The 20129-nt window shown below is 41.4% G+C and overlaps 2 long non-coding RNA genes across 2 annotated transcripts in view; one reads left to right on the plus strand and one right to left on the minus strand.

Moving 5' to 3' along the window:
* The window catches only part of CLRN1-AS1 (CLRN1 antisense RNA 1), a 108049-nt gene that overhangs the window by 85394 nt on the left and 2526 nt on the right, over window positions 1–20129 (plus strand). Inside the window, exons 2-5 of the long non-coding RNA NR_024066.2 lie at window positions 4572–4932; window positions 6942–7005; window positions 8239–8358; window positions 17040–17181. This is a non-coding gene — a long non-coding RNA (CLRN1 antisense RNA 1). The remainder of the gene's footprint in view (window positions 1–4571; window positions 4933–6941; window positions 7006–8238; window positions 8359–17039; window positions 17182–20129) is intronic.
* LOC124909448 (uncharacterized) lies at window positions 17448–19299 on the minus strand. Its single transcript, XR_007096133.1, has 2 exons — window positions 19135–19299; window positions 17448–17755 (listed from the first exon to the last, which is right to left on the minus strand). It is a non-coding gene; the product is annotated as an uncharacterized LOC124909448 (long non-coding RNA).

The raw sequence follows: 20129 nt of genomic DNA on the forward strand, positions 1-20129 counted from the left end.
CATGGTTCCTTTGGAGAGAGCAAGGAGTAAGCCACCAGACCTGCTGTGTTCACTCTTTCCTCTCAAGTAGCCTCTCTAAAGCCTTACTTCTACCTAAAATGGGAAGATAAGTGTACTTTTTTCATTGGGTTGTTGTGAGAAGTGAGATTATACAGGTAAAGCTTTCAGCATTATTTTTGGTTCATAGTTTTTGCTCAATAACTATTAACTATTATTAATATTATGCATTTTCCTCCTCTGTGACATAAGGATAATAGTACCTGTTTCATTGGTTAATGCAAGAATAAAATATAGTTCTGGTATATAGAAAGTTGATTCAAGGCTAGGCCCAAAACAGGAGCTAAAATTCCCAGTAATTTTGCTGCCTCCTATAACCCTATTATCTAGAAGAAAACACGATAAATATTTTGTTATATATGCCTTCCACTCAACATATGAACAATTAACTTACATGCTTTTTCAATAAAACAGTGAAAACATTAACACCTTTTTCAAAGCAGACATACACAATTGTCTTCTAAATGGGTGATGGCAGCAGAATCTGTGGAAACTGCAATGTCTGAAGTGCCTGGGAGGCCACAGCCAATGCTGGAAAGTATACAGCTGTTGCAGCCACGTGAAGCAGGACCATCACTCAGCCTCCTCTTCCTCCCTGTGGCTGTGCATGTTTCTAAAATTAGGACTTGTGAACAGGTGCTCCCTTCACTTTCCCTCTGTCATCCATCAAATGTTTTTTTCTGCGTAGAAAACACAATTCCAGGCACTGTGGAACAAGAGCTGCAGAGTCCTGCTCGTTATGGAGATTGTGAAATGCGGCAATGACTGGAAAATGTCAGTAGCTCAGGCAGGCCTCTGGCTTTGTGAGTAATAGAAGCCTCTCAACCTTGGAGTCCACTGGGAGGTTGTCAGTCAAAGCACTTACCAGGGCATGCTCAGTGCAAACGCCCTCAGAACAATACTTTCTTGGTGACCAAGATTTTAGTGCTGAGAATGCACATGGCCGCCTTCTAAAGGAAGAATTCTTCTCCTAGGGAAGACAGAGTAACACAGCTGTTGATAGGCTCGCCGTTGTCTGTGGTTCACTAGGTATCAGCAGTCTCCTTTTGTTTGTTTGCTCCATGAATGAACACAATTTTTTTAGCTCACCTCTTCCCCAAGCCGAATCATTAATTATTGCTAATATTAATTTGAAAAGCCAGAAGAAAAATAGTTAGCTTCTTTGTGACCTTTAACAATGTGTCTCCTGCTTTTGCCTTATTTCATATGAGAACACTTGTTTTGACTTAGGTACCTTTAAATTGCATATGGTGTTTTTGGAATTTACCTATTGGATAAAACTGGAAATGAGTGAATGACTCTGGTTTTTTACTTCACAGTTTTTCTCTCACGTAGTTGAAGTGATACTGTATTCAGTATTTTAAAATTATTTCCCATTACTTCCAGTCCCAATCTTGATAACGGTTCACAAGTAGTTTTCCATGTCATTAAAATTTTCTCTTAAATATTTAGGTGATTTTGTTGGAGCACAGCAGGGATTCCTTGTACCCATGTAGTATCCTCTTTTTTTTTTTGAGACAGAGTCTCACTCTGTCCCCAGGCTGGAGTACATTGTCATGATCTGGGCTCACTGCAACCTCCACCTACCGGGTTCAGGTGCCTGCCACCACACCTGGCTAATTTTTGTATTTTTAGTAGAGACGAGGTTTCGCCATGTTGGCCAGGCTGGTCTCGAACTCCTGACCTCAGGTGATCCACCTGCCTCAGCCTCTCAAAGTGCTGGGATGACAGGCGTGAGCCACCGCGCCCAGCCCCGTATCTTCTTGATACCAAAAAAGGCCTTCCAGCTTTTATACCACAATCCACAGGAAGAAATACATCATACATTGTGATCCCGTACACACAAACTGACACATACACATTGCTGAAACAGAAGTTTCATGAGATAGTACTTCCCCTTTCTACATGATATGCACTCTGCTATATTCTTTTTTATTCATTTTTTGAATTTAAAAATGTTGGTCAAATATACCAGGTGAAATGAGTTATTACTCAATGTTTTTGAGCTTCCAAACTGGGGCAAAAGAGAGTCCATACCTCTCTGCCTTTTCTTTTTTCCCACACTCCATCTGTCTTGGTCGGTTTTCCCTGAAAACGAGCCTGATGTAAGGATTGGGATGCAGGTTGTTTATATGGAAGGTGATTCCAGGAAACAGAAGTGCAGAAGTGAGAACAGGGAAGAAATGGGAAAGAAGGAAAAACTAAAACAAAGTGTGTTATTGTACAAGTTGCCATTGGGCAACTGGGGCTCAATCCTACTGGGGAACTTCTGGGGACGTTGGGTAGAATGGTGTTTCCAAAGGATGGGAGGCTGGGAGGTTTATTCACCGAGTCTTGTTTTCCCCATTGGTTGAGGTATCCAACCCACTCCCTAACGTGGCTGCAGAGAAATGGAGAGATGAAAGGTGCTTCAGACTATCATCATGAATGGAAGCCTCTACTTAGGCTCCACAGCACCATAAGCAAGCCAAGAGCACATGATGTGGAGCACAAAGGGCAGCTGCTGCTTCCTCTGAGCAGGAAGGGGTGGACTCCAAGATTCCCTACCCAGTATATCATATCTTCCTCTTACCTAGACAGGCAATCCTGAGGCCTCATTTCCATGGCAGAGAGAAACAACTTGAAGAATTGACTCTGCTAGGATTGGCCCTTAACATATTAACATAATTTAGAAAACTCTTCTATCAGCAGGGCCAGGTGGCTCATGCCTGTAATTCCAGCACTTTGGGATGCCAAGGTAGGCAAATCACCTGAGGTCAGGAGTTCGAAACCAACCTGACCAACATGGTGAACCCTCGTCTCTACTAAAAATACAAAAATTCGTCGGGCATGGTGGTGCGCGCCTGTAGTCCCAGCTACTCAGGAGGCTGAGGCAGGAGAATTGCTTGAACCCAGAAGGTGGAGGTTGCAGTGAGCCGAGATCAAGCCACTGCACTCCAGACTGAGCAATAGAGCAAAACTTTGTCTCAAAAAAGAAAAGAAAAGAAAATTATTCTGTCTTTCTCAACAAAGCTATTTTCCTGCTGTAGATTCAGACAGAAATCTAATTCCAGCTGAGGGTAGAAATGTCTTCTAGATTGGGGGTACCCCTCCATTCCACTTATGCCCATTGTTGCCTCAGTGAGTGGGGGGATTTGAAAATATGTAAATAACTCTAAACCTAGTTCCAAAATGTTATCTCTCTTGCTTTAATTGTGACTTCTGTGTATTTGTAAAATAAGATGGATATATCATAATTTATTTAACTACTTTCCTAATGTTGGACATTTAGTTTGTTTTCATTTTTTTGGTATCATACGTAATGTTATAGTAAACATCATTGTGCATAATTCTTTGTTTGGGTCTCATTTTACCAAGATAGACACCTCAGGGTGAAAATAGAGAGCTAAAGAGTATAAAAGCTATAAAAACTTTTAATCTATGTTGACCAATTGCTCTATAAAATGTGTAGATATAACCAATTTACCTTCCCACTAGTCATGTGTATATACTGGGCAATCTCAAAAACATTTTTTTTGTTTGTTTGAGACGGAGTCTCACTCTGTTGCCCAGGCTGAAGTGCAGTGGCGTGATCTCGGCTCACTGCAAGCTCCGCCTCCTGGGTTCACGCCATTCTTCTGCCTCAGCCTCCCGAGTAGCTGGGACTACAGGCACCCGGCACCACACCCGGCTAATTTTTTTGTGTGTTTTTTAGTAGAGACGGGGTTTCACCGTGTTAGCCAGGATGGTCTCCATTTCCTGACCTCGTGATCCGCCAGCCTCAGCCTCCCAAAGTGCTGGGATTACAAGTGTGAGCCACCGCGCCCGGCCCTCAAAAACATTTTTTTAAAAATTCTCAATGTTGAAAAATTTAAAAACATAAAAAAGCGTAAATCATCATCATAATAAATAACCCATAATCCTGGCTGGGCGCGGTGGCTTACGCCTGTAATTCCAGCACTTCGGCAGGCGGAGGCGGGTGGATCACAAGGTCAGGAGATGGAGACCATTCTGGCCAACACGATGAAACCCTGTCTCTGCTAAAAATACAAAAAATCAGCCGGGCGTGGTGGTGGGCGGCTGTGGTCCCAGCTACTCCGGAGGCTGAGGCAGGAGAATGGCGTGAACCCGGGAGGCGGAGCTTACAGTGAATCGAGATCGCGCCACTGCACTCCAGCCTGGGCGACAGAGCGAGACTCCGTCTCAAAAAAAAAAAAACAAAACAAAACAAAAAACAAACAAACAAACAAAAACCATAATCCTGAGACAGGCACTATCAACATTTTAATGTATTACATAGCCGTATTCATTCATATATAATGTATATGTCTAATTTAAGAACAAAATAGACATACCACATATAGAGTTTCATATTCTTTCTGATTTAATATTATATTCTATTTTTTAGAAAGATAATTTTAAATGGTTGCAAAATGTTTCATCTGTGTCAGTTAGGAATTGTGTTTGGCTGCTATTAACAGAGTTTGACTAGCATAAGCATATAATGGTTTATTATTTTTTTCTCATATAATGAGACATCTGGAAGGAGGCAGTTGTTGGCTTTGTTACAGTGGTTCAAGAATGTCAGAATTGCAGTCACTACAATTCTCCTGGCTTTTCTCTCATGGTCCCCAAATGACTGCTGGAGTTTCAGCCATCATATCAGTGATCAAGGCAGCTGGATCCAGGCAGTAATCCAGACACTTGGAAGTCCCACCCAAGGACTTCTGCTCTTATCTCATTGGTCATCTTTGTCTGAAAGGAAAGCTGTGAAATACAGTATTATTAATAAGCACGTTGCTGGCTCCAATAATATAGAGTCTTGTTAACAACAAAGAAGAGGAGAATGGAGATTGAGCAACCAGGAAGCAGTCTCAGCCACACCATCATATGGAGGTAATATATTTCTGTAACCAATTTCATATGGAGGGGTTTTAAATTTTTTCTAAAGTTCACCATTTTACCAATTAACATGATCAGCATCTCTGCACAAATATCTTTGCATCTTTTATTATTTCCTTATGATAAATTCCCAGATGGAATTAATAAATCAAATCATAGATTGCAAAGTTGCTTTCCAGAAAGGTTCTACCAATTTACATTCTCACCAGCAACATATAAAACTGTTGGGCAGTCTTTCTGAGAGTCATTTATTGAACACTTACTTTCTGTCCAACTCCAGATGGTCCCTTGTGATTCTTTTTTGAATATTAATATCATTCACAAATACTAGAAAATGCAATCAATCCTTAAATAGAATATGTCAAAATGGCAATTTCTGAGCACTATGCCTTTTATTTAAATAAATATGCACCAAAAAATATTTCTCAGAGAATGAGTCTGCAAGGCGACAGGCACATTTTGGATTTGTATTTTCTTTTATTCTGATATTTGAAGAAGTCAGTCCCTGAGATGGTTTTGATACCAATAATGACAGGGGGCCACAGGAGAAAAGATGGCAAGAAAGACCTATCTGAGAACCCAATAACATACCTAAATCAATTTAAGATCTTTAAAGTTTAATATTAGAAGCTATTATGGAAGTCACGAATCTTAACACAACTATAGCTATTCTGCAAACCAATGCAATTTTAGCAAAGTTTGGAAGCCCCATCTATTGAGTTGCATTTTAATGGAACTAATGTTAATGGAAATAATGTATGGCTAAATCATGGAGCTGGATTCCTCCACAGTTCCAAGCAAGAGTCAAATTTTGAGATAGTTAGAGGTGTATACAGTTAATATGTTCTTGAAAATTTATACTTTAAATAAATTTCTGGTAAATTAAATAGAAAATTTCAGTATATTTGTGGAACTCAACTGAAAATAACTCACAGTAGCCCCTGTTCAGTTAATGTAGTAGAATTAAAGAGTGATAGCAGGAAATGCTTTAGTAAAGAAGACCACTTTTTACACAAGAATAATCACCTGATAATTTGTATCTTATGAGTTTGGTTCTGGACATCAAGTTTCTTTAAAACCAAGCAGGGCTTTAAGTTCTGTCAAAATTTCAATGAGCATTAGCTTTCTTTGCCCAATCAAAGATGAAAACCACTGGAAAAAGTTATCATTGCATGCATGTTTTTGGAATTTAGATTCTGTGTTACTGCATAGTGTTGCGCATGGCCATCTGGGTCCCCAGAACATCATCACACACACAACTTTTTTATGTGGAATGTAGCTTGACACTCTAGAGCAGATTTTACAGATCAAGTCTCCAGCCCAGAGAGCAGGGGCCATCACTCATTCAGGAGGGAACAGTCTTGCAGCACAGAGTTGCTTCCCACATTCCTCTGGCACAAGCAGTTCCAGAGTTTAACACTAGACCTGCTGGCAGGGCATGGTGGCTCACACCCGTAATCCCAGCACTTTGGGAGGCTGGGACGGGTGGATCATCTAAGGTCAGGAGTTCAAGACTAGCCTGGCCAACATGGTGAAACCCCATCTCTACTAAAAATACAAGAAATTAGCCAGGGATGGTGGTGCACACCTGTAATACCAGCTACTTGGGAGGCTGAGACAGGAGAATCACTTGAATCCGGGAGGCGGAGGTTGCAGTGAGCTGAGATTGCGCCATTGCACTCCAGCCTGGGTGACAGAGCAAGACTCCATCTCAAAAAAAACAAAACAAAACAAAAAAAAACACCTAGACCTGCTGATAAGGTTTCATTAGTGTCCTCACCCAAATCTCATCTCAGTTGTTATTCCCATAATCCCCACATGTCAAGGGTGGGACCTGGTGGGAGGTGATTGGATCATGAGGGTAGTTCCCCAATGCTATTTTTGTGATAGTGAGTTCTCGTGAGATTTGATCCTTTTATAAGTGTTTAACAGTTCTTCTCTCTCTCTCTTCTCCCCTCTCTCTCTCTATTTCTCTCTCTCTCTCTCGCCCACCACCATGTAAGAAGTGCCTGTTTCCCATTCTGCCCGATTTTAAGTTTCCTGAGGCACCCCCAGCCATGCAGAACTGTAAGTCAATTAAATTTCTTTTCTTTATAAATTACCCAATCTCAGGCAGCATCTTTATAGCAGCGTGAAAACGGACTAATACACCTGCATAGAGTAGGAGGTCTATAAATACTTGTTTTACTATGGTACAACCCAAATACAGTTTATCTCCAAGTGATACAATTATTTGTGACTTTTATTCATTTTTGCTTTTCTGTATTTTGTTAATTTCCCTCAAAGGTATATCTGGAGTATTTGTAATTAGGTAAAATAAAACAACTGTTTTTTCTTATGGCTGTGCACATAGCTGCACGTTTGGAATATTCAAGATTATGGTTCCTGGAAAATTTTTGCTGACTCTTTGAAGTAGAAGAGGTAGACTACATTGTATCATAGTGAATTGAGCATTTTTATTAAATATATTTAGACCTTTGATATTTTATATTTTACATTAAATGTAACCCTTGAATTCAACTTTTGTTTCTAAGTATATATTAGGTAATAGAGACTGAAAGGAAATTAGCAAATGAATCAATCAATTGAACTGTGATTCCCTGCTTGAAGTAGGTCTTTGAGTTCTTTAAAACTGTCAGTGGATGACAATAATATGTAAATTCTATGGTCTTGTATTTTTTACTAACACTTTATTTATATAATTAACAATTCAGAATGTCAGATTAGTTGTTTCAGTATTTGAGATTCTTCTGTTAAGTATTTACTTTCATCAATGTCTAAGAAAATTATATGAAAAAATCTGATAGATTCTCTTATTAAACTGAACAACTGCATATGGTTTAAACATTTTTGATGGCTTAGTTATAATATATTTAAATTCAGCTAAAATGGAATGAGCTTATATATGCAATCATGGTGTGATGTAAATTCCTCTATCATTTTGTCACTACTCATTATTTCATTTTAATTTATTATTATTATTAGCTAACATTTGTTGTATGTTTACTATATACCAAGCAGCATGCAGTTGTTTTCATATAACAACTCATGTAGTTCTTATAATATTTCTATGATATATATTATTATCTCTGCCTTAAGAAACTGAAGCGCAAAGATAGAAATGACTCATCCAATATTACACAGCTAGTTGTTGAAATGGCAATGTCAGAATTTGGACCCAAGTCCACACATACCCTAATTCATATTTTAATCACTATGTTCTACTATCTCCCAAGTGATTTTATATGTCTGTTTTACCACTAAGCTCATTAATAGCAAGGATTATGTCTTTCTCTGCAGCTCTGGTGCCTGGCCCACAGGAAGTTTTCACTAAATATTGAAATAAACTGAACTTAGATTAAACTTTGGTGTCTAACTTAGGAAAAACAACAAGAGTTCTACAAAACTATTTCTTCACAGGTAATTTGCAGTTGTAGCTTACCTGATGTTTTTCCTGCTTTAAGCTAGTTTAAGAACTTATTTCCTAACCCTATAGGGACGTGGATGAAAGATATGAACAGTTTATCACTCTTAGCATATGAAAAGATGTTCAACTTTACAAACAGTAAAAGAAATGTAAATTAAAACTACAATGAGGCCAGTCTGGTTGGCTCACACCTGTAATCCCAGCACTTTGGGAGGCTGAGGCGGGTGGATCATCTGAGGTCAGGAGTTCAAGATCAGCCTAGCCAACATGGCAAAACCCCGTCTCTACTAAAAATACAAAAATTAGCCAGGTGTGGTGGTGCACGCCTGTAATCCCAGCTACCAGTGGGGGCTGAGGCAGGAGAATTGCTTGAACCCGGGAGGTGGAGGTTGCAGTGAGCAGAGATCACGCCACTGCACTCCAGCCTGGCAACAGAATGAGGCTCCATCTAAAAAAAAACAAAAGAAAACAAAACAAAAAACTACAATGAGATAAGATTTCATAACGATCATAGTGACAAAAAGTAAAAAGTTTGGCAATGCCGTTGATGACGTTTTAAAATAACACATAGTATTCCCATACATTGTTGGTGGCAATGCAGAATGATACAAACACACTGAAATAAATTCATCAAAACCTAGCAAAATATTTTTTTACCCTTTGATTCACAAATCCAGCTTTTAAGAATTTACCCCAGGAGACTTCAGCTTCAAGTTTACCCTTCAGTACCTGCTCTGGGGTAATCAACTGGACTCTTTAAGCATTTCTCCTCAACAGAGAGCACGACGTTAATTAACCTTTGTCAGTAGAGGGCACTGGAGGGACATTGCAGGAGAAATGGGGGCAATTTCTAGTTCTGGTAAGCTGCACTTTGCTTTTACTTGCTCTACTGCATAGCCTGTCAGTGGGGCAATGGCTGGGGTGGGAGTGGAGGCAGTAGAAGGACAGTGGTGGAGCCAGGAGGTACCTGAGTGTTTGGCCCCTCAGCAAAATCCAATTCCCAGCCTAGGCCTAGTGACCAGCTTGCTGTGAGCCTCCTGCTGGGTACACTAAGTGGCTCCAGGTGGGTCCCTGACCATCTCTATGTACCTGTGTGCCTGAGGGTTTTTTTCCTGCTATGGCAAACTTTGGCCCAGGGAACCCAGCAAATGTTGGGCTATCCAGTAGGCTGCAACCACACCTTCTTCAACTAGGTTTTAACCTCATTAGGAAGGTGGGGGTTTCCCTTCCAGGTCTGTGCTGCCTTGAGCACTCTCCCTAGGCCCTAGGGCGTTCTTCTTTTTTCTTTTTTTTGAGATGGAATCCGGCTCTATTGCCCAGGCTGGAGTGCAGTGGCACAATCTCAGCTCACTGCAACCTCTGCCTCCCGGGTTCAAATGATTCTCCTGCCTCAGCCCCCCGAGTAGCTGGGATTACAGGCACCCGCCACCACGCCTGGTGAATTTTTGTATTTTTAGTAGAGACAGGGTTTCACCATGTTGGCCAGGCTGGTCTCAAACTCCTGACCTCAGGTGATCCTCCTGCCTCAGCCTCCCAAAGTGCTGGGATTACAGGTGTGAGCCACTGTACCCGACCGGTCCTAGGGCATTCTTTAGAGCAAGGGTTGGCAAACTGTGTTCAAACCCCACAGTTTTCTGGCCAAATCCAGCTCCCTACCTGTTTTGTAAATAGAATGTTATTGAAATGCAGCCAGGTCCATTTATTTATGTGTTGTCTATAAAGTACTGAATGGTTATGACAGAGAAAATATGGCCTAGAAAGCCTAATATATTCACTGTCTGTCCCATTATAAAGAAGTTTGCCAGCCCGACTTTAGAGTTCTCTTTACATCTTTATGTTATTGTATCATAGCTTAATAATTTAATAGTAAATCTCCTCATTTTAATTACTGCATGGTCTCTGTGTCCAGACTGATACTACCTCTAACGATGATACAAAAATACCTACACAGCATTACTTGCAATTGAAAAGGTATATAAACAACCTAAAATCCCTGGCATGGAGATTGGTTTAATAAACTATGATATCAACACAATGGAGTGCTCTGCAGCTAGGGAAATGAATTAGGAGATCTCTATGAACTGATATGGAGTGATTTGCAGGGTATGTGATCAAGTAAAAAAACCAAAATACAAAAGCGTATATGTGGTATGCCATATGAGTAAGAAAGCTTATTTCTTAAAGAAAAACAAACAAACCAAAAAACACAGGAATGGCCAGCCGGGCATGGTGGCTCATGCCTGTAATCCCAGCACTTTGGGAGGCTGAGGCGGGCGGATCACGAGGTCAGGAGTTTGAGACCAGCCTGACCAACATGGTGAAACCCCATCTCTACTGAAATTACAAAAATTAGCCAGGTGTGGTGGCGCACGCCTGTAATCCCAGCTACTCAGGAGGCTGAGGCAGAAGAATCGCTGGAACCTGGAGGCAAGGTTGCAGTGAGCAGAGATCATGCCACTGCACTCCAGCCTGGGTGACAGAGCGAGACTCCGTCTCAAAATAAATAAATAAATAAATAAATTTAAAAATATAAATAAATAAATAAACCATAGGAAATATATACTAGAAATTAATATATTGATTATCCATAGATGGTGGATAGGAATAGAATGAAAGGAATAGAAGAGGAATTGATAATTCTGTGAGTGTGTATTTTGTATAGTTTTTATTTTAAAACCATATTAATGCTCTATAAATTCAAAAATAATGTTAAATAAAAACAAGTATGAGAAAAAAATGCAAATTGAATGCAAACAGAAACCAATTAACTATATTTCAAATGAATAGCACATCTACATGGAAAAAAATAATTCAAGTAACATTTGAATACAATACTTTGGCTAAATATCTTCAGTCAAAAAACAAACAAAAAAAGTAATAAAAACACTTAAACTCTGTTTAGTAGGTTTTTTGTAGACCATAGTTATAGCAATTCTAAAACTATGTTGGGTATTGTAGAACTAAGCAAACAGGTACATACAAGATGTGTTGGGAGCCAGGGTTCTCACTGTGGGAGAAGGCAGATACAAATATAAAACAAGTGAAGACAAAAAAGAATCTAATTTGTTGCACTGGAATTGGAATAATCTACATAGACAGACAGATAGACAGATATTTCCTAGCTCTGTCCTCTAAAAGAATCTAGAAGCAGTAATACCCAATAGCAATGAGCAACTAGTATCCAGATCTTGATTTTTAAATATCACTCACACTAAAAGGAGGGAGGGCTCCTTGGGAAAATGCTGATTCCAGGGCTGGAGCAGTTAAAGTACAAGATAAGCCTGAAACATCATGTGCCAGAAAATAAGAAAGTGCTAAAAAAATTAAGGGAATCTGTCAAAAGGCTATGGAAACTGCCTTGAAGCAGCTTCTACTGGGAAAACTGGGAAAATATGAGCATCAAATAAACAACGATATTAATAGATTTTACTCTATTAAGTTAAATATCTATTTATAGACTTAAAAATACAGGCTAAAATTATAAAACTTTTTTTCTTTTCTGAGATGAGGTCTCATTGTGTCACCCAGGCTGGAGTGCAGAGGCACCATCACTACTCACTGCAGCTTCAAACCCTGGGCTCAAGCCATCTTCTCACCTCAGCCTCCCAAGTAGCTGGGACCACAGGCATGTGCCACCATGGCTGGCTAATGTTTAATTTTTTTGCAGAGACAGAGTCTCGCTATGTTGCCCAGGCTGGTCTTGAATGCATGGGCTCAAGCGATTCTCCCAATTTGGCCTCCCATAGTTCTGAGATAACAGGCATGAGCCACCACACTTGGACTGTAAAACTTCTAACAGAAAACAGAATAAAATCTTTGTGATATTGGAATAGACAAAGACTTCTCATATAGGACAAAAAAGGAAAAGAATACAAACAACAACTATATGTGATCCTGGATTGAAGAAATAAAAGCTATAAAGGACAACATTGGGACAGTTAGAAAATTTGAATATAGGCTGGGTGCGGTGGTTCACGCCTGTAATCTCAGCACTTTGGGAGGTTGAGGTGGGTGGATCACCTGAGGCCAGGGGTTCAAGACCAGCCTGACCAACTTAGTGAAACCCCGTCTCTACTAAAAGTATAAAAAATTAGCTGGGCGCGGTGGCAGGTGCCTGTAATCCCAGCTACTCGGGAGGCTAAGGCTGGAGAATCACTTGAACCTGGGAGGCGGAGGTTGCAATGAGCTGAGATCATGTCATTGCACTCCAGCCTGGGTGACAGAGCGAGACTTCATCTCAAAAAAAAAGAAAGAAAGAAAGAAAGAAAATTTGAATATAAACTATAGATCACTGTTAAATTTTGAATTTGATTATTTTACTGTGGATATGTAAAAGAATGTCTTTGCTATTAGGAAACTCATGCCAGTGTATCTAATGGATAAAGGATTGATGTCTGGAACTTATTCTCAAATGTTTCCACCAAAACTACTTCTATTACTACTACCACTGCCACCATCCCCACCCTTAGTAATAATAACAACAGTAGATATACAATAAATGTGGCAAAACGTTAATTGGTCAATCTAGGTGAAGGACTGTCTGTGATTTCTTTTCATGGCTGCTTGTGGTTGCTGGGTTGCATTAATAATCAGGGACTCTTGCAGTAAGTGCACACCCTTTGCTGTTTATTGGCTATGGATTTATTCATTCCTTTATTTCCATCTTCTTAGGTGCTGGGCTAGGTGCCATCCAAATGTTACCCCATTTAATTTTCACAAAAATCTTGTGAAGTAGATTTTATTTCCTCCATTTATATATAGATGAGACAAATGAAGCTCAAAGAGGTGACTTGCCCAAAGTCGATGTCAGTAAATTACAAAGCAGTAATTGCAACCTAGGACTTCAGGTTCAGTGTTCATTTCACATCAGTTCAGGCCTCAGGGGCCCAACATTGTGACCATCAACAGACGTTGCAGAATCAGAAAACAAAACATAGCAGCTCTGAGACATTAGAGGAGAAGGCCTTAGAACACAGATTCTGTGGGAATTCAGCAACTAGAAAACATAGCTTAATAATCTTAGAACAAATGAATATCTAAAGATTTAATGTTCATATTATTACTTCCCTAAATGACCTGCAGTTTTATATTATTTTCTTTTCATAAGGCTATAGGTTGCTTCACACATGTACCATTATTATTTACTGAGCTACATAAATATCCTCTACAAATATCGATGTGCCTCAGGTTTTATCTGTTTATGTGTTTTTAAATATCCTATTATATAGAAACATGAAGGAAACAGACAAAAAACAATTCCACTGATTTTTAAAAAGAAATATATGTAATATATGTATATGATTGAAATTTCCAAAATATTGTTTATTTTTTTTATTCCATTAACAAATACATTCCTAGAACATGCAGCCTATGACTTTCTTTTTTAGCAGCTGTAGGGGATTCCACTGTAAGGGTATGGCTTGGGTGCATATGCATGTGTGAATGTGCATATGTGTATAGGTTTCCGTGTGTGTTAATGTGTTTGTATAGGTTTGTATATGTATGTGTGTGTAGGCTTATATATGTGTATGTATGTGGGTTTGTGTGTGTGTGTGTGTGTGTGTGTGTGCGTGTGTTTATGCCTGTAACCACTGGCTGCCACTGGTGACTATGTTTGTCTCGTCCATGAGTTTGCAGGCTATGAGAAGCACAAGAATCATGTCTGATTGACTTTCAATGCTCAGCAACTGAGCAAGGAGGCTAGAGCTGAGGTTTATTGAGACATAACTTTCATTGGCACATAACAAGTTCTTTACGTATGAAGAGCAGTGGTAAAGACCATGAGCTCAGACTACCTGGGTTCAAATCTACTACTGTGTGGTCTGGGGAGGCTCCTGGGAAAGTTTCTTAGCCCTCCTTGCCTCTGTTTCCTCCTGGTCAGGTTCCCTTGTAGCAGAACCTGATAAAGGTTTAGCGGACATGTGATTTATTTTTTGACTCACAGTCCAAAGGCAGGAAGGGAAGAGGGATAGGACAAAGTGGAGAGCTAAGTAAAGATGTGGTCTCAACTGGGTCCAGCTTCACTTTGATCCTCAGGGAGCTCTGGAATTGGACCACAAAGTGAGTCCTGCATTAAGGCCAGGGCTAGCTTTTTTTTTTTTTTTAGACAGAAACTTGCTTTGTCGCCCAGGCTGGAGTGCAGTGGTGCGATCTCAGCTCACTGCAACCTCTGCCTCCCAGGCTCAAGTGATTCTCCTGCCTCAGCCTCCTGGGTAGCTGGGATTATAGACACCCACCAAGATGCCTGGACGCCTGGCTAATTTTTTTTTTTTTTTTTTTTTTTTTGAGAAGGAGTCTCACTCTGTTGCCAGGCTGGAGTGCAGTGGTGTGATCTCAGCTCACTACAACCTCCATCTCCCGGGTTCAAGTGCTTCTCATGCCTCAGCCTCCCAAGGAGCTGGAATTACAGGCATGTGCCACCACGCCCAGCTAATTTTTGTATTTTTAGTACAGACAGGGTTTCACCATGTTGGCCAGGCTGGTCTTGAACTCCTGACCTCAGATGATCCACCCACCTCGGCCTTCCAAAGTGCTGAGATTACAGGCCACCACTAGGGCTAGCTTTTTATGCCTCTTTGTTCCTTAGTCATTGGTTGCTGACCGTCCCCCAGGGTTGGTGTGTGGTATAATCTCCGGGGCGGTTTCTGTTAGACTGAAGGCAATTCTCCAGAGAAAAGGGAGCTGTAAACCTTTAGCAACCAATACTTTATGGTAACTTGGAGAGGTGTGCACTTGCCTGGTAAAAGGGATGCGAGAGACTGACAGCATCCTACGATCAGAACTTCACAAGGCCATTGTGAGGGTTAAACATGATACTACATGTAAAGCACTTAGAATGATCAGAACAAGTAACATTTATTTGCATGCTTAAGCCAAGCATTGTTCTAAGTTCTTTGCCCACAGAAAACTATCTAATATACAGGAAACCCTTTCTTTTTCTAACTTATAAGTTAAAAAATTCTAAACTTACAGAAAAGTTAAAAGAATAGTATAATGGGCCAGGTGCAGTGGCTCTCACCTGTAATACCAGCACATTGGGAGGCTGAGTCCAGAGGATCACTTGAGGTCAGGAGTTCAAGATCAGCCTGGCCAACATGGTGAAACCCCATTTCTACTAAAAGTACAAAAATTAGCCGGGCGTGGTGGCGGGCACCTGTGATCCCAGGTATTCAGGAGACTGAGGCGGGAGAATCGCTTGAACCTGGGAGACAGTGGTTGCAGTGAGCCAAGATGGAGCCACTGCACTCAAGCCTGGGTGGCTGAGTGAGACTCTGTCTCAAAAAAAAAAAAAAAATTAATAATCATACCAACCATGTGCCAAGAAAACAGAAAGCCAGCAATATTCAGAGAGAACTATTGACTCACAGAAATATGGGAAGGAAGTGGAATTCTGTTCAGTCAGGATCTTTGGGAGGGTGAATTACAATGACCAAAGGCAGCCTAGAGTCTTCTCCCATGTATCATCCTACATATCAACAATACATATCTATCTCTAAGGCACTGGTTCTCCAAGAAAATCTCCTTATCCAAGGCTTCCATTTGTTCCTTGTCACCACAGGGTAAAATCCAAACTCCTTGTGTTGTGGCCATTCTGGCTGCTGCTCATAGGAGAATTTAGACACATCAAGTCATGCTATGGGAACAGGCAGTGGCAGAGGCTTTCCTAGGGACTCTAAAGAGAAATTGAGGGACCTTGGGGATAAAAGATTGGGAAAAACACTGCATGCGAGCTTAATCTAACACCGATGCCTGGGTATAGCATTGTGCTTGTTACTGAGATGGGCTAATGCCAGATTCCTAAGCAAAGGAGTTTACTGCAAAGATCAAAAGGTTATTTTTACAAAAAATATCTGGACGTTCAAGGAAGCCTTGTTTTGGGATGTGGGTAATACAAAGGGTAGGGGAAAGAGATTGCCTCCTCTTCAGTGGGGAGCTGGACATCTCCACACTGGTATGTTATCAGGGTTGGAAATGCAGGCTTGGGCCCAGCTCAACAGGCTCCTTGGTGCAGTGTGGTTTGGGCAGATATGGGTGGAAGATGACACTGAGGGCTTTAATAGCAAAGGAAGCACCAGGGCCTTGGCAGTGTGGTGAATGCCTGAGGCAGTGGCTGCACCTGTGCCTATGGAAAGATGGAGCAAGTGAAGAGGAAAATGGGCCTTCCACAATGCAGTCAGAGAACTGGGTTCTCTGGTATGGGTAGATGTAAGATGACACTGGGGGCTTTGATAGCAGAGGAAGCACCAAGTGTCTTGGCAGTGTGTTGACGTTAGAGGCAATGACTGGACCTGTGCCCAAGGAAAGATGGAACAAGTGAAGAGGAAAATAAGCATTTCACAATGCAGTCAGAGATCTGGGTTCCTAGGTACACAGAGGGCCTACCCTGACCCTGATTAATCCAGAGTAATTAATTCATCCATTTAATAGTTACTGGACAGGTAGTAAATGAAACAGACAACATTCTTGACACCAAAAAGCTTATATTCCTATGACAGAAACTGACAAAAAGCCAGATAACAAATATATAGGCAATTTCAAATAGCAGTAAATGCTATAAGAAAATTAAAAACAGACATGTATATATATATTAGCATATTAGGAGAGAAGATTTACATGTTTTCAATTGTGAATCAGAGTGAAATTACATTATTATAATCCTACTTTTTACTCCTAGGCTGTTGTAGCAGGGAGACCCTCAAGGGCGTCTACAATATCACCACAACTCTCATAGAGCTGCCTGTGAAGGATGACAAGAAGGAAGTAGGCTGAGACCCAAGTTCTGGGTCAGGGGACTAATGCTGTTGTCACCAAGAAGGGTATAAAAAAGCTATCACTGCAGTGCCTAAAGGGACATTTGAAATCTTTGTCCTAGTCAAGGCTGGCACTGGTGTCCATGGGCCCACCCAGGTGGATAATGAGGAATCTCTGGTCATAGAAGCTTTCAGTGACAAGTGGGTAGAAGGTCTTGGATCTAAGAGGGTCCATCCTGGAAGAAGCAGGACTATGACTATGGTTAAGTGCCCACAGAAGAGTCCAATAACCTGGAGTAGGTGAAAGTTATGAAAGTTGTCAAGCACTCTTGTTCAATTATTCATTTAATAAATATTTATTAAACTCCTGCTATGTGACAGGCTTGTGCTATGTGTTAGGAATACAGTGATAAACGCTCAGTAAAAGACCCTTCCCTGATGGAGCTTACATTCCACCAGGTCCCAGCCTAGAGAGCTGTGGATTGATCCTAGTTAAGAACTACAGGAGAATCTAGGAATATGTCTGGTTGTAGAAACTGGTCAGGTATCCTGGATGGTATCCGCACTTTCACAGGCCCACAGAGAGATGCTGAGAACTTCATCCAAGAGAAAGGACTGAAGAAGAGGTGAAGATGGAGTCCTAGAACACCAACAGAATTGGTTTTCATTGACTTAGAGCAAGAATGAGGGTTGGAAACAAGCTATCCATGGCTTAACAGGGTTGGGGTCAGCCAGTGTCCACCCAGAGTCCCTGAATATTATTAATGCAGCTCATCTAACACAACATGTAGCCAGCAGCCTAAGAAAAGAATCACAGACACTCCAACCCCTCTTGCTCTGGCTTCTTCTCTTACTCTCACTACCACTCCGTACTTTCCCCCACCAAATTCATCATGGGGATGTCCCTCAGGCTTGATGGTTGAATAGTGCTTCTTCTGTTTTGGCCCCTGGCTGGTTAGATTTAGCTTGTACTCATTCTCAGACTCTTCAGGCTTTTCACCACTTGGGAAAAAATTCCTACCCTGAATATTCTTGGCTCCAGGCCTTCATACCCACCCACCTGGCCTGCATTCTTGGTCCAACACACAGCAACAACCTTTAAGAGAGGGCTGATCATTTTGTCATGAACCCACTGCTCCAAGGGCAAGCCTGTTGCTATGGCAACATGGATGATCTAGCAGGCTCACGGCTGTCACTCTGCTTTGGGACTAAGGACTTAGGGAGGGGAACACTAGCCTCCTTGGGGAGACAACAGCCCTTGTGGGCCAATTACCAGAAAAGAGAGCAAAATGCCTCCCTCATCCTGCCCTAGCAGGCCCTGTGGCCTTCAGTTCCTCCCCGCCTCCTTCAGGTTGCTTCTATTTCTGACCCCAGAGAGATTTAAAGGGAATCCAGATAAATTGCCAGGTTTCATTATTCAGCTTTAAACCTGCACATGGATTCTCTAGAGAGCTGAAAGGGATGACATTTCTCCTTTTTTTCCTAACCAAGGATGTGGAAAGATGATGGTTCCACTGGTGCAACCTGGTAATCCCTCTGCGAAGATAACAAGGTTTCTGACCTCAAAGAGACTTGGAGACCAAATCTTCCATGGATCTCACTTCTGTTCATGCTGGTCTAGGTTCAAAGTGTAGCCTCTACCCCTATGCCCACATAGTCAACTGATCCACTTCCACGCTATCGTCCTCATGAAGCTTTGCACGTCTTTCTGCCCCAGGCTTCCATCCCTTATCTCCTTTTCATTCTCTTCCACTCTGGCCTCTTGAATCCTTTCCCCATAGCTAGCAAATTGCCATACCTATACAGTTTCTTTTCTAACACTCTCACCTCCTTCCTCCTACCTTGGGAAAGCTGGCCTCTTCCCTTGGAGCACTGCTTTTCCTGCACCCCTCTTACCTTTGTATTTCAGTTCAACCAGGTGGGTTAATATCTATGGGGAATATATTACATTATGAATAATAGAAAAGTCACTAACACTGGTTTCATTAAGTAGGGCTCATTCTTCACATAACCAGATACCTGGTTGTAGATGGCTGTTGGTATTGGTTCAGTGGCCACTTGAAATCAGGGCTCATCTCTGGGGTTGTCTTGCCTTTTCCTCATACCATATTTCTAACTTCTTGGTCACAATATGGCCATTGTAGTCTAGACTTCATGACTAAATTCCAGGCGAGAAGAGAAAAGGAGCTAAAGGGTGTTGCCTGCATCAGGAAAGAAAAACATTCTCAGAATCCCTAGAGAAGTTAAGCTTATGTCTCATTGGCTAGAAGTGTGCCACATGGCCATCCCTAGATGTAAGGTAATCTAGGAAGGTAGGTGTATTTAGCTGGCATATTGTACCCCAGAACAAATTCAAGATTTCGTTACTAAGGAAGAAAAGGGATAAAGATAAAGATATCGGGCAGAGAACAAGCAGTGTCTGCCACAGTGTCTGCTTCACTCCCCCACATTATATTTCACTGTCTTGTTAAAAACCATTCTCCTTTGATCTTATGCCATTCAGCTATTCTGCCCTACCTCCCCCCATCCACTGTTGGTGCTGTCATCTAATGGGGGGTCCTCGCGTTCATTATGTACCTTGGCAATGGGCAAAAAGCCAACCATTCTGCAGGGCAAGCCAATTGCCTGCCTCCTACACACAAGCCTTGATCCGTCTTGATGACAACTTGGTTCTCAGCTCTTCTTCCTCTCTGCTCTCATCCTTACTCAGCCAGTCTCTACTCTCATCTTCTGTTTCAGTCTAGCTGTCACAGCCTCTATAGCCTCCATTTACTACTGCTCAGAAAGGACTCCCTTTGTCTCTTCGTACTCAAGATGCCCCAACTTGAACTTAATGTCTATTTTGCTCATCACCACACTCCCAGCTGGCCCCTGCTTCCTGTTAGCAAAACTGGACCAGGTGGCTGAGGTTCCAGGGGTCAGGAGACCCTAACTTCTCCAGGCTCCTTTGCTGATCTGACACATTTCTCCATCTTGGTTTGCAACATCCTCTCCGAGACAATTTTTATATTCAC

Source organism: Homo sapiens, chromosome 3 (assembly GCF_000001405.40).
Source record: "Homo sapiens chromosome 3, GRCh38.p14 Primary Assembly".
Lineage (NCBI taxonomy): Eukaryota > Metazoa > Chordata > Mammalia > Primates > Hominidae > Homo > Homo sapiens.